The 14198-nt window shown below is 50.5% G+C and overlaps 1 protein-coding gene across 2 annotated transcripts in view; it reads right to left on the minus strand.

Moving 5' to 3' along the window:
• Window positions 1-14179, minus strand: part of LOC100652777 (group 10 secretory phospholipase A2) — a 33438-nt gene extending 19259 nt beyond the window's left edge. The window contains exons 1-3 of one of the 2 annotated variants that reach the window (XM_047435004.1): window positions 13556-14179; window positions 4935-6767; window positions 1296-1446 (exon numbers count right to left, since the gene is read on the minus strand). In XM_047435004.1, the coding sequence (XP_047290960.1) occupies window positions 1296-1446; window positions 4935-5031 (248 nt within the window). In that variant the 5' untranslated portion in view covers window positions 5032-6767; window positions 13556-14179. Of the gene's footprint in view, window positions 1-1295; window positions 1447-4934; window positions 6768-12571; window positions 12653-13555 lie in introns of those variants that run through there. The other variant, XM_011522790.4, reaches the window with a different exon arrangement.
• Window positions 14180-14198: the final 19 nt, after the last annotated feature.

The following is a 14198-nucleotide window of genomic DNA, read 5'->3' on the forward strand; positions in this document are numbered from 1 at the left end:
TTTATAATGAAACCCTCCTTAGAGGCCAGGTGCGGTGACACCCATCTGTAATCCCAGCACTTTGGGAGGCTAAGGTGGGAGGATCACTTGAGATCAGGGGGTCGAGACCAGCCTGGGCAACATAAGAAAACTCTTGTCTCTCTTGTCTCTATAACAAATTTAAAAATTAGCTCACCAGGCCAGGCTCAGTGGCTCATGCCTGTAATCCCACTCAGGCTGGAGTGCAATGGCACGATCTTGGCTCACTGCAACCTCCACCTCCTGGGTTCAGGTGATTCTCCTGCCTCAGCCTCCCGAGTAGCTGGGATTACAGGCATGCGCCACCATGCCTGGCTAATTTTGTAGTTTTAGTAGAGACAGGGTTTCGCCGTGTTGGCCAGGCTGGTCTGGAACTCCTGACCTCGTGATCCACCTGCCTTGGCCTCCCAAAATACTGGGATTACAGGCGTGAGCCACCGCACCTGGACACGTTACTGAATATTTCTGTGCCTTGGTTTCTTCATCTGTGAAATGGGATTGTTGTGAGAACGCAAAGGGATTCCCAGGGCAGTTCCTAGTGCATAGTCTGGCTTCCTTTGTGTGTGTGTGTGTGTGTGTGTGTGTGTGTGTGTGTGTGTGTGTGTGTGTGTGTTTAATATAGAGACAGGGTCTCACTATGTTGCCTAGGCTGGTTTCAAACTCCTGGTCTCCAGTGATATTACTGCTTCGACCCAAAGTGGTGGGATTACAGGTGTGAATCACCACACCTGGTCACTTTATATTTTTATTATTTTTTTCTTTTGAGACAGGGTCTCGCACTGTCACCCAGGTTGGAATGCAGTGGTGCAATCTCAACTCACTGCAAACTCCACCTCCTGGGTTGAAGCAATTCTCCTGCCTCGGTCTCCTGAGTAGCTGGGATTACAGACGCCTGCCACCACACACAGCTAATTTTTGCATTTTTAGTACAGATGGGGTTTCACCATATTGGCCAGGCTGGTCTTGAACTCCTGACCTCAAGTGATCTGCCCACCTCGGCCTTCCAAAGTGCTGGGATTACAGGAGTGAGCCACAGCTCCTAGCCAAGTTTTTAAGGCAACGTCATCAGCTCAAGGCCAGGGTAAGGGGCAGCTGGTACCAAGATCTGGCTTCACTGGCCATGTTATCCAAGAGGCCTCTGCCTGCCTGCAAAGTAGTACTGCACACTGGGATCTCCCTGGACCAAACCCCAGCTTCAGTTTTGGGTACTTCCTCATAAGCCTTGACTACCCCAGAGTGTGAGGGATTTTGTGGCCTGGTCCCAGGCATGCACTCACCAGTCAATGGCATCGCGGGGCTGGCCATGGCCTCCCAAGCCACAAAAGCAACCATATTTCATATAGGCGATGGGGGTTCGGGGACCAACACAACCCACAGTTCCTGCCAGTTCCAGGATCCCACGCCGGTGCACACGTAATATCCTGGAGGCTGGGGGGTAAACAAAGGTGACAGGCTGCAGGTCAGGGCTTCCCAGACCCCTGGGAAGGGCATGAGCCTGAGAAGAGCCCAGGTGTTACAGCCTGGCTGTCTGGGTTTGAATCCTACTTCCTGGCTGTGTGACCTTGGACAAATTCTTAACCTCTCTGGGCCTTGGTTTCCTCATCTGTGAAATGGGGGATAAACTGACTTCAACTCATATGAATGAAATGAGATAATGAGTATAAAGCCCCTGGTGCATGAAAAGGCTATTATAATCCGGCTGGGCTCAGTGGCTCACACCTGTAATCCCAACATTTTGGGAGGCCCAGGCGGGCAGATCACCTGAGGTCAGCAGTTCAAGATCAGCCTGGCCAACATGGTGAAACCCCATCTGTAGTAAAAATACAAAAATTAGCCGAGCATAGTGGTTCATGCCTGTAATCCCAGCTACTAGGGAGGCTGAGGAAGGAGAGTCACTTGAACCTGAGAGATGAAGGTTGCAGTGAGCCAAGATTTTGCCACTGCATTCCAACCTGGGTGACAGAGCAAGAGTCTCAAAAAAAGAAAAAAAAAAGGCTAACTATTATAATCAAGGTCCTCAAGGTAGCCAAGAAGGGAAAAAAGAGTCGTGCATGAAACGTTTGTCCAGTTCCCTGTGTTGGGAACTGGGCATCACGGACGCGCCTACAGGTGTCTGTCACCAAGGTGGGCTCCTCTGTGGCAGCTCCCGGGCCCTGGCACTGCCCTGTGCTCATGACTTCCCCTCCAGACTCAGACTCAGGGCCCTTGGTATCTCCTCTTATTTTCACTGCCAGACAGGAAGGCCCCTTGGCCTGAGCCCAGCCATTTTTCTAGATCCTGGCACAGCTTGGACATGTAATGGTGCCCAATGCATGTGACTGGAACCCCTGCATTGGACATGTAGGAAACGAGGCCAGCCGGGAAAGGTAACCCCACATTCCCACAGCCAGCAGGAACCCGAGCAGAGGCTTCAACCCAGGCTTCTGACTTGCAAACCAGTGCTCCTTCCTCCTTACACAGTGACAACAGGGGAAGGTGGCCTTCGGGGTTGCCAGAGCCGAGTAGTACCAGCAATAGAGTGGAAACTCACACACAGGCTTGCCTGCTTCCTGGGTTAGGGTTAGGGTTTATACAGCTCTGGGAGGTTGACGCATTGTGTTTGATCATCTTTTTTTTTTTTTTTTGAGACACAGTCTCATTCTTGTTGCCCAGGCTGGAGCACAGTGGTTTAATCTTGCTCACAGCAACCTCTGCCTCCCAGGTTCAAGCAATTCTCCTGCCTTAGCCTCCCGAGTAGCTGGGATCACAGGCGTGCGACACCACACCCAGCTAATTTTTGTATTTTTAGTAGAAAGGGGTTTCACCATCTTGGCCAGGCTGGTCTCGAACTCCTGACCTCATATGATCCACCTGGTTTGGCCTCCCAAAGTGCTGGGATTATAGGCATGAGCCACTGCGCTCATCCTGATCATCTTGTCTCTCTTTTTTTTTTTTTTAGAGACAGTGTCTCACTTTGTCACCCACACTGGAGTGCAGTGGCACAATCAGTTCACTGCAGCCTCCAAATCCTGGGCTCAAGCAATCCTCCTGCCTCAGTCTCCAGACATACGGGCATGCACCACCATGCCCAGCTAATTTTTAAATTTTTAGTAGATATGGGGTCTCACTATGTTGCCCAGGCTGTTCACAAACTCCTGGCCTCAAGTGATTCTCCTGCCTTGGCCTCCGAAGGCGCTGGGATTCCAGGCATGAGCCACCATGCCCAGTCTCATTTCTGTTTTATCTAGAACAGTTTTCATCACACTGACTTTTTTGAGAAGTCCAGGCCAGATTGAAATTCCATTTTGTCTTTTTATCAGTGGAAAAAGTAGCATATTTATGTTGGAGGACAAAGATGAATCAAAGAGGAAGAAAATGTAAAACGCATTTGGGGCCGGGCGCGGTGGCTCACGCCTGTAATCCCAGCACTTTGGGAGTCCGAGGCGGGCAGATCACCTGAAGTGAGCAGTTCCAGACCAGCCTGACCAACATGGAGAAAGCTGTTTCTACGAAAAATACATAATTAGCTGGGCATGGTGGTGCACGCCTGTAATCCCAGCTACTTGGGAGGCTGAGGCAGGAGAATCGCTTGAACCCGGGAGGTGGAGGTTGCAGTGAGCCGAGCTCGTACCACTGCACTCCAGCCTGGGCAACAGTGAGACTCTGTCTCAAAAAAAAAAAAAAAAAAGAGCTGAGCTCTGATATAAGCTGCCCTGGCACACAGTGAGCTTCCAGAAATGGTCCCTTGACCTCTAAATGCACCAAGACCCAGGGAACACGCCCTGTCTGAGCACCCTGACAATGTCCCAGTCCCAACACCGTACCCTGAAGCTGTCCCCAAAGGTTCCCCTGCCACCGTCCCTGACCACTCTCTGGTATCTCAGAGCCCTAGCAACAGCCTTATAGAGGGAGGGTTCTAGGCGTGGGGCAGGCATGAGCACTGTGCTTATAACCAAGCAAAACACTCCCTCTGTGCCAACATAGGTGTGGCAGGTCACGCTGGGGTCTGTTTGCCCTGTCTGCCCGCTGCAGCCTCCTCGGGGGAGGGCCAGGGCTGTCTGTCCATCCTGTGACCCCAGGGTCTATGCGCACATATGTGTGTCTGTGCTGCTCTGTGTGTGTGTGTGTGTGTGTGTGTGTGTGTGTGTGTGTGTGTGTGTACACGGTGCATCTGAATTGTCCTGAGTGCTGTCTCGGGTATCCTTGAGCTGTGTGTGCGTGTGTCCCCCTAGCGGTATGTCAGTATTTTTCCCTGTGGGAGCCGCACACCTGAGGGCCAGGTGAGTCTGGGGCTGGTCCTGTGCCTGCGCATCTGTGTGCTGGCGGTGTCTGCATAGTACTCTGCGGGTACATGTATCTGTGCACCCCAGAAATGGGCAGTCACCCACGGGACCTCTCTACAGTGACCCCAAAGGATGGATAGTGAGATAGGGACAGTATGTTCTATTTTTTGTTTTTTTGTTTGTTTGTTTTGTTTTGTTTTGTTTTTGGTCACCGGGGTTTGTTGTACAGGGGCACAATATATTCTTCTCCCACCCCCAAGCCGGCCCTTTCTGCCCCTGCTCCTCCCACCCTCTGGTGTCTCACATCTCAGGGACAGGTGGAATGAAGGGTAAGTTCGCGGACCCCAGATCAGGACAACCGGGAGGCTTCCGGGCTGCCGGAGAGGGTCACAGCCGGTTAGGGGAGGGAGCCAGGAGAGGACTCTGCGCCCCTGGGGAAGGACTGGGCTAGTTCTGGGTCCCTGGGAGGAGTGAGTGGGGGGCCCTGCAGAAGGCTGGGGCGCATCGTGTGGGTGAGCATTAGAAGAGCGAGCTGGGGGCTCTAGGGCAACTAGGAACTTGGAGAGGGATGGGAGGCAGGGCTGCTGGGTCCCTAGGAAGGGCTGGAGGAATACCGGAACGCCTGAGTTCCGGGAAAGCCCCTTCCTCACTCACCCTCGCCGGACCCGGGGCCAGGTAGAAGCAGCAGCAGCAGCAGCGACGGCAGTAGCAGGAGCAGCATGATTGGCAGGCACACAGGTAGCGGCCCCATCGGAGGGTGGCAGAGGTGGGACGGTGCTGCAGGGCCACCGGAGGCACCAAGCCCGGCGGACACACACCCCGGCTGTCACGCCCCGGCTCCGCCCCCGACCTCACCTTCCCTCGCGGCCCAAGCAGAGCCAGCTAGGGGCGGGCACCTGGGGCGGCGCAAAGGCGTCCTGATCTCTGTATCTTGGTCACTGAAGGGGCTCCAGAGGCCGCGGGGCGCTGGGGACAGGACCGGGAGTCAGGCCCAGGGAAGTCTCCTCGGAATAAGGGAGGAAAAGGCGCTCTTTTGATGTTATTACTCCCCCAGCCCCTCCCCCGCTCACCTGGGCGCCCAAAGGGAACAGAAGACTTGGAGGAGGGGTAGTCCTGAATTTGCTTTAACATTTTATTTTATTTGGCCGGGCGCGGTGACTCACGCCTGTAATCCCAGCACTTTGGAAGGCCGAGGCTGGCGGATCACCTGAGGTCAGGAGTTCAAAACCAGCCTGGCCAACATGGTGAGGCTGTCTCTACTAAAAACACAAAAATTAGCCGGGCGTGGTGGTGTGGACCTATAATCCCAGCTACTTGGGAGGCTGAGGCACAGGAATCGCTTGAACACGGAAGGCAGAGGTTGCAGTGAGCCAAGATCACACCACTGCACTCCAGCCTGGGTGAGAGCCAGACTCTGTCTCTTTCTCGCTCTCTCTGTCTCTCTCTCTGTCAGTCTGGAGAGAGTTGATTGTCCCTGGTCAGTCTCTCTAGTCGAGAGAGAGAGAGACACTGAGGCTGGGCACAGGGCTCACGCCTGTAATCCCAGCACTTTGGGACACCGAGGCGGGTGGATCACCTGAGGTCAGGAGTTGGAGACCAACCTGGCCAACATGATGAAACCCCGTCTCTACTAAAAATACAAAAAATTCCCCGGGTATGGTGTTGAGCGCCTATAATCCCAACTACTCAGGAGCCCGAGGCAGGAGAATCGCTTGAACCCGGGAGGCAGACGTTGCAGTGAGCGAAGATCGCACCACTGCACTCCAGCCTGGGCAACAAGAGCAAAACTCCATCACACACAAACATACACACACACACACACACAAAATTAACCAGGCATGGTGGCACGTGCCTGTAGTCTCAGCGGCTCGGGAGGCTGATGTACAAGAATCGCTTGAATCTGGGAGGCGAAGGTTGCAGTGAACCAAGATTGCACCACTGCACTCCAGCCTGGGTGCCAGAGTAAGACACTATCACAAGGCCGGGCACGGTGACTGATGCCTGTAATCCCAGCGCTTTGGGAGGCCGAGGTAGGCGGATCACCTGAGGTCAGGAGTTCGAGACCAGCCTGGCCAACATGGTGAAACCCTGTCTCCACTAAAAATACAAAAAAATTAGCCGGGCATGGTGGTGGGCGCCTGTAATCCCAGCTACTCTGGAGGCTGAGTCAGGAGAATTACTTGAACCCAGGAGGCGGAGGTTGCAGTGAGCCAAGATCGCGCTATTCCACTCCAACCTGAGCAACAAGACCGAGACTATGTCTCAAAAAAAAAAAAAAAAATGACTCTGTCTCAAAAAAAAAAACTAGAAGTCTTGATCTGTGATCTTGGGAAAAGCTGTTCACATCAAGGATGCCATCTTTTTCTGGCGAAAAACTTCCCTCTTGTGAGATTATGAACCCAAAGTTCAAGGTCCTGAAGTTTTGCTGTATTGTGGATGGCAAGGACATTCTTTCTCTGATGTTCTCAGAAGATCCAATCTTTGGTTCTAGATTGTGAAGGAATTGATTGTCCCCAGTCAGTGAGCCATAAAAAGCTTTCAGTACCTGGTGAAAATACACTGTACCATAATGATCTACTGTTGTAATATCAGCCCTCTTGCATGGGAAAGCAACCAGAAAACATGCATTGAAAATGATAATTGACAACTGAAATGTTCAAATGGCCCATGAGGTAGCCAAATGCACCTGAAGCTTTGATTGTCTTCCCAGGAACATGAATTTGACAAACGAAACATTGGTTATGAACTATTTTAGCAATTTATAATTCAGCACACCAATACATATTTAATTTAGATCATTTTATCTTTTCCATGATGAGTCATGGAATGCAGAGTCTTTTATTTTTCATTTTTAGACAGAGTTTCATTCTTGTTGCCCAGGTTGGAGTGCAATGGCGCTATCTCGGCTCACCGCAACCTCCGCCTCCTGGGTTCAAGCGACTCTTCTGCCTCAGCCTCCTGAGTAGCTGGGATTACAGGCATGAGCCACCACGCCCGGATAATTTTTTGTATTTTTAGTAGAGATGGGGTTTCTCCATGTTGGTGAGGCTGATATTGAACTCCCGACCTCAGGTGATTTGCCCACCTCGGCCTCCCAAAGTGCTGGGATTACAGGTGTGAGCTACCACGCCCAACTGCAGAACCTTTAATAACAAACACTTTAAGGAGTCAGGAAGGACAAGGTGACCATCTTGATTCTCCATGAGTCCATGGTTAACATCGGACTTGCGTGCTCTGAATATCAGTTGTTTCTCCAGTTTACGTGCATAGCACTGATACCTAATGGGTTATCATAGGTAATTTGACTTAGACCTTGGAGTTCATTCAAATTGTATACCTAGGCTGGGCGAGCCCACAAAAAATTAGCTGGGCATGGTGGCAGAAGCCTGTAATCCCAGCTACTTGGGAGGAGATGGGAGAATCCCTTGAACCCAGGAGAAGGAGGTTTCAGTGAGGGGAGATTGCTCCACTGCACTCCAGCCTGGGCGACAGAGTGAGACCCTGTTTCAAAAACAACAAAAAAGGGGTGGTGGCTCATGCCTGTAATCCCAGCACTTTGGGATGCCAAGGCGGGTGGATCACCTGAGGTTGGGAGTTCAAGACCAGCCTGACCAACATGGTGAAACCCCGTCTCTACTAAAAATTCAAAAAAATTAGCCAGGCATAGTGGTGGGCACCTGTAATCCCAGCTACTCAGAAGGCTGAGGTACGAGAATCACTTGAACCTGGGAGGCAGAGGTTGCAGTGAGCCAAAATCACGCCATTGCACTCCAGCCTGGGTGACAGATTGAGACTCCGTCTCAAAAAAGCAAAAAGCAAAAAACAAAAACAAACAACAACAACAAAAACCAAACTGTTTATCTAAACAATTTTGGTATCGGCTGTTTTAACATGAAAATTTAGCAAAGTGTTTTTTTGGTATTCAATTAATTTTTTGTTCTGCTTGGGTTAGCAGCTTTCTTTCTTTCTCTCTCTCTTTCTTCCCTTCCTTCCTCCCTTCCTCCCTTCCTTCTTTCTTTCTTTCTTTCTTTCTGTCACCCAGGCTGAAGTGCAATGGCACGATCATGGCTCACTGCAATCTCCGCCTCCCGAGTTCAACCGGTTCTCCTGCCTCAGGCTCCCAAGTAGCTGGGATTAGAGATGCCCACCACCATTCCCAGCTAATTTTGTATTTTTTTAGTAGAGACAGGATTATACCATGTTGGTCAATTACAATTCCCCTGTCTTCATGAATCGGCTCTGTCTAGGCAGTGGGCAAGGTGAACCCCTTGAGCAGTTACAGTAGTGCCAACATGTCAAGTTTCTAGGCTCTCTCTCCCTGATCGGCCCTGGTGACCCTGTTGGACTGTATGCCAACAAACACATTGTCATGAATTAAGAATATTCACAAATAGTTTACAAATTTTGGAGAAATTAGGCAGAGACAGAAATATGACTCAAATTCTATTTATGAAAGTATACTCGCTGGACGGTGTGGCTCAAGCCTGTACTCCCAGCACTTTGGGAGGCCGAGGCAGATGGATCACCTGAGGTCAGGAGTTTGAGACCAGCTTGGCCAACATGATGAAACCCCATCTCCACTAAAAATACAAAAAGTTAGCCAGGTGTGGTAGTGGGTGCCTGTAGTCACAGCTATTCCAGAGGCTGAGGCAGGAGAATCACTTGAACCTCTGAGGTGGAGGTTGCAGTGAGCTGATATCGTACCATTGCACTCCAGCCTGGGCGACAGTGTGAGACTCTGTCTCAAAAAATAAATATAAAAAATAAAAAGCTGCTATGCTCCATTAATTCCTGCAGGCCCAACGAAGGCAGCCTAGGAATTCTAGATCAATGGAATGAATACAACTTGCTAGAAATACATAGGAAACAAAATGACTATTCACAGAACCAAATAAAAGCCTTCCACTAGAAACTAAAAATAATAATAATAATAATGGTTATATATATATGCATACACAAGCAAAGCCAGAAGAGAATAAATAGCAAATGAATGAAAATTAGAAGCAAAAACAAGTAACTAGGAAACCATCTCTACATTTTTTTTACTCAATCTACCCTGAATGCTACAGCATTATCCAGGACCCCAGAAAACACACATAATACTTTATTCCTGATAAACAATTCAATGTCCTTAAGTCCACCAATATCACCATACATTCTGTGCAATCAAGAAATTTACTCAGCTGGGTGCAGTGGCTCACACCTGTAATTCCAGCACTTCGGGAGGCCAAGGCGGGTGGATCACCTGAGGTCAGGAGTTTGAAAACAGCCTGGCCAACATGACAAAACCCCATCTGTACTAAAAATACAAAAATTAGCCCAGTGCGGAGGCACACGCCCATAATCCCAGCTACTCGGGTGGCTGAGGCAAGAGAATTGCTTGAGCCTGAGAGGCAGAGGTTGCAGTGAGCCCAGACTGCACAAGTACACTCCAGCCTCGGTGACAGAGGGAGACTCCATCTCAAAGAAAAAAAAAAGATTGTAGACCTAAAGTTAACATTGGCATGTACTTGATTATAGGAGGCCAGCAAATAATTTATTTATGAATGATCTACGGGGCGCAGCCCTTCCCAGATGCCTGAGGCCTTTTCTTGCTGAATGGACATCTATCTGGCTGTTACATGATCTTAGGAACAGCTATTCATTTGGAAAAGGGTGTCACAATGACTTTCTCTTTTGCATAAGAAGATGGGGGGCTGGGATCCTGAGATTTTAAAATTTCCTTTACAGCATACCCATATGTGCTCAAAAGTGAAAAGAGATGACAATTGGCCAGGCGTGATGGCTCACACCTGTAATCCCAGCACTTTGGGAGGACGAAGTGGACAGATCAGAAGGTCAAGAGATCAAAACAATCCTAATCAAAATGGTGAAACCCTGTCTCTACTAAAAATAAAAAAATTAGCTGGGCATGGTGGCATGTGCCTGTAGTCTCAGCTATTCGGGAGGCTGAGGCAGGAGAATTGCTTGAACCCGGGAGGCGGAGGTTGCAGTGAGCCGAGTTCGCACCACTGTATTCCAGCCTGGCAACAGAGGGAGACTCCATCTCAAAAAAAAAAGAAAAGAAACGAGATGACAATTGTAGTGCAAAATATCTGTTCCCTTTTGGTCCCCAGTGCCACTGCTACCCCATTCATCACCAATTTTTGTTGATGTCTCTTCCTGACTACTTTTTTTTTTTTTTTTTTTGGAGATAGAGTCTCACTCTGATGTCCAGCCTGGAGTGCAGTGGTGTGATCTCAGCTCATTGCAACCTCTGCCTCCAGGTTCCAGTGATTCTCCTGCCTCAGCCTCCCAAGTAGCTAGGACTATAGGCATGTGCTACCACGCCCAGCTAGTTTTTGTATTTTTAGTAGAGATAGGATTTTAACATGTTGGCCAGGCTCGTCTTGAACTCCTGACCTCAGGTGATCCACCTGCCTTGGCCTCCCAAAGTGCTGAGATTACAGGTGTGAGCCACCATGCCTGGCCTTTTTTTTTTTTTTTTTTTTTTTTTGAGATGGGGTTGAGCCTGTTGCCCAGGCTAAGCTTGAATTTATTTTTATTTTTATTTTATTTATTTATTCATTTATTTTATTTATTATTATTTTTTTATTTTTTGAGATGGAGTTTTGCTCTTGTCGCCCAGGCTGCAGTGCAGTGGCACGATCTTGGCTCACTGCAACCTCTGCCTCCCAGGTTGGGAGTAGCTGGGACTACAGCTGCCCGCCACTATGCCCAGCTACTTTTTGTATGTTTAGTAGAGCTGCGATTTCACCACGTTGGCCAGGCTGGTCTCAAACTCCTGACCTTAGGTGATCTGCCCACCTCGGCCTCCCAAAGTGCTAGGATTACAGTTGTGTGCCACTACACCCGGCCTGGGCTTGAATTTCTGACCTCAAGCAATCCTCCCTCCTCAGGCTCCTGAGTTGCTGATATTACAGGTGCATATCACCTTGCCCAGCACTAGAAACATGATTTTGTCACAACCCCAGACCCCTCTCATTCCCTTTCATAGGAAGGCACTGGGCACCAGAGAAGCTTGAGCCAAGAACCAGGGGAACCAAGATTTAAACTCATTTCTGTTGGGTGCCAAACCTCTCTCTGCCTCCTTCTATTGGAGACGGCTGGGCACGGTGGCTCACACCTGAGATCCCAGCACTTTAGGAGGCCTAGGTAGGTGGATCACCTGAGGTCAGGAATTTGAGACCAGCCTGGCCAGTATGGTGAAACCCTGTCTCTAGTAAAAATGCAAAAAATTAGCTGGGTGTGGTGGTGGGTGCCTGTAATCCCAGCTACACAGGAGGCTGAGGCAGGAGAATCGCTTGAACCCAGGAGGCAGAGGTTTCAGTGAGCCGAGATCATGCCATTGCACTCCAGCCTGGGAAACAAGAGTGAAACTCCATCTCAAAAAAATTAAAAAAAAAAAAAAGAAAAGAAAATCCGAGGCTTTGGTCCCTTTGCCTGCGACACTCTGGAGTAATTCTGTCCCTGCCTGAACGTGATCTCCTCAAGGCAAAGTCTGCGTCTCCTTCCTCTTGTGTGCTCAGCCCTGGCCTATCTGTCCCACACTAGGTGCTCAGTGAAGGTGTGCTCATGTGGAGTATGGGTTTCAGGCATACCAAGACTTGGAGTTGCAGAGGCTGTGAGTGACAAGCCTTGGAGTGCTATGCCCACTGGGAAATGGGTCTATCTCGGGGTTGGGCCAATAAGCTGGGCTCCCTCCGACGCCAGTGCTCATAGCTCCCCTACCCTGGGTGGACCCCTGCAGATGGTCAAGTATGTTGGCTCCATATGTGCCTTGAGTAGCTGGGTGCAGTAGCAGGGCATGGTGGCTCAGGCCTGTAATCTCAGCACTTTGGGAGGCTGAGGCAGGTGCATCCCTTGAGGTCAGGAGTTTGAGACCAGCCTGGCCAACATGGCAAAACCCCGTCTCTACTAAAAACAGAAAAATTAGCTGGGCATGATGGTGCACGCCTGTAATCCCAGCTACCCTGGAAGCTGAGGCAGGAGAATCACTTGAACCCGGGAGTCAAATGTTGCGGTGAACCCAAGATTGCGCCACTGCACACCAGTGTGGGGCATAGGGGGAGACTCTGTCTCAAAAATAAATAAATAAATAAATAAATAAAACAGATGGAGAGGCTGGGTGTGTGTGGTGGCTCATACCTGTAATCTCTGCACTTTGGGAGGCTTAGGTGGGAGGATCAGTGGGGCCCAGGAGTTTGAGACCAGCCTGGGCAACATCTCTACCATCTCTACCAAACACACACACACAAATTAAAAAACTAGTTGGGTGTGGCGATGCATACCTACTTGGGAGGCTGAGACGGGAGGATTTCTTGAGCCCAGGAATTTGAGGCTGCAGTCAACAGTGACCACGCCACTGCACTCCAGCCTGGAAGGTAAAGTCAGACACTTTCTCAAACAATAAAAATAAATAAATAAATAAATAAATAAATAAATAAATAAAGCCGGAGGATAATGGTGAGACATGGAGAGAAGGCATGCTAGGCAGAGAGACCTCCGTAGGCAAAGTCGAAGAGACATGAAAGAGCCAGTGTGCAAGAGTAAATTCCTAGAACTCTGGGAGATGGGAGCAGAGGGAGCTGGTACAGGTCTCCACCTGGTGTACAATCTTGGCATAAATCTCCTACCATGAAAATAAATGACATTTTCTTCTTCCGGCTTTTGTAAGTTGGAAGAAAGCAGTTTTTCTGAGGAGTCTCACTCTGTCTCCCAGGCTGAAGTGCAGTAGCGCAGTCTCGGCTCACTGCAACCTCCTTCCCCCTGGTTCAAGCGATTCTCTTGCCTCAGCCTCGCGAGTAGCTGGGACTGCAGGCATGTGCCACCATGCCCGGCTAATTTTTGTTTTTGTTTTTTCGGAGATGGAGTCTCGCTCTGTCACCCAGGCTGGAGCGCAGTGGTGTGATCTCAGCTCACTGCAAGCTCCACCTCCCGGGTTCACGCCATTCTCCTGCCTCAGCCTCCCAAGTAGCTGGGACTACAGGCACCTGCCACCGCGCCTGGCTAATTTTTTGTATTTTTAGTACAGACGGGGTTTCACTGTGTTAGCCAGGATGATCTCCATCTCCTGACCTCGTGATCTGCCCGCCTCAGCCTCCCAAAGTGCTGGGATTACAGGCGTGAGCCACAGTACCCAGCCGCAGCATGCACCTTTTTAAGGACAGTTCCTTTCTGGATCCTTCCTAAGGTTCTGATTTCTAATCCTTCCTAACCCAGTTCACTGCCCCCCCCGCCCCAACACCACCCTCGGTCCACCCATTCTGACTCACTTTCTCCTTTCCTGATGCCCACAATTTCCAACAATCAGTCTTGGCCTCAGATTCCCGCCCTTCAGGTTCCAGTGTTCCTTGGGTCCTCTCTCTCCCCTGATCCTCTCTGATTAGGGGTGGGGTGTGTGAGTTGCAATTAAACCCAGCCTTTATTGGAGTCCTAGGGCTGGATTCTGCATTGTGCTCTGTTGTGTCATTGCACCTTCTCGTTTCCGCTCTTTCTGCCCAGCTTCTTCCTCTTCATACTCTAAGCCCCGCCAGCGCATGCTGACCCCACCGGTGGAGCGCCGCTCCTTCCCACCTGCCGCTTCTCCATCTCCATCTCTCCATCTTCTGCTCCTAGCCTTTCCTGGCACGGGGGCCCTAGCTCTGAGCTCTTGCATTTTTCTGGGGCACCGTCCTGCTCCTTCTCGTAACCCCGGGCAGTGGCCCTGGGCTCCTCGTCCGGCTGCTGCGGGCCTGGGCTGCCCGGGTCAGCGTAGCCAGGCCGACAGACAGCGCAGTTCACACCCCGGGGCGGCGGAGGCAGGTGCAGTGCGAGCGGCGACCCCTGTAGGCTGGTGTGGGCGCTGCCTGGAGGCTGCTGCGGTGCCGCCTGTAGGCTGGTGAGGGCGCCGCATGGAGGTTGCCGTGACGCTCGTTG

This window comes from Homo sapiens, chromosome 16 (genome assembly GCF_000001405.40).
Source record: "Homo sapiens chromosome 16, GRCh38.p14 Primary Assembly".
NCBI lineage: Eukaryota > Metazoa > Chordata > Mammalia > Primates > Hominidae > Homo > Homo sapiens.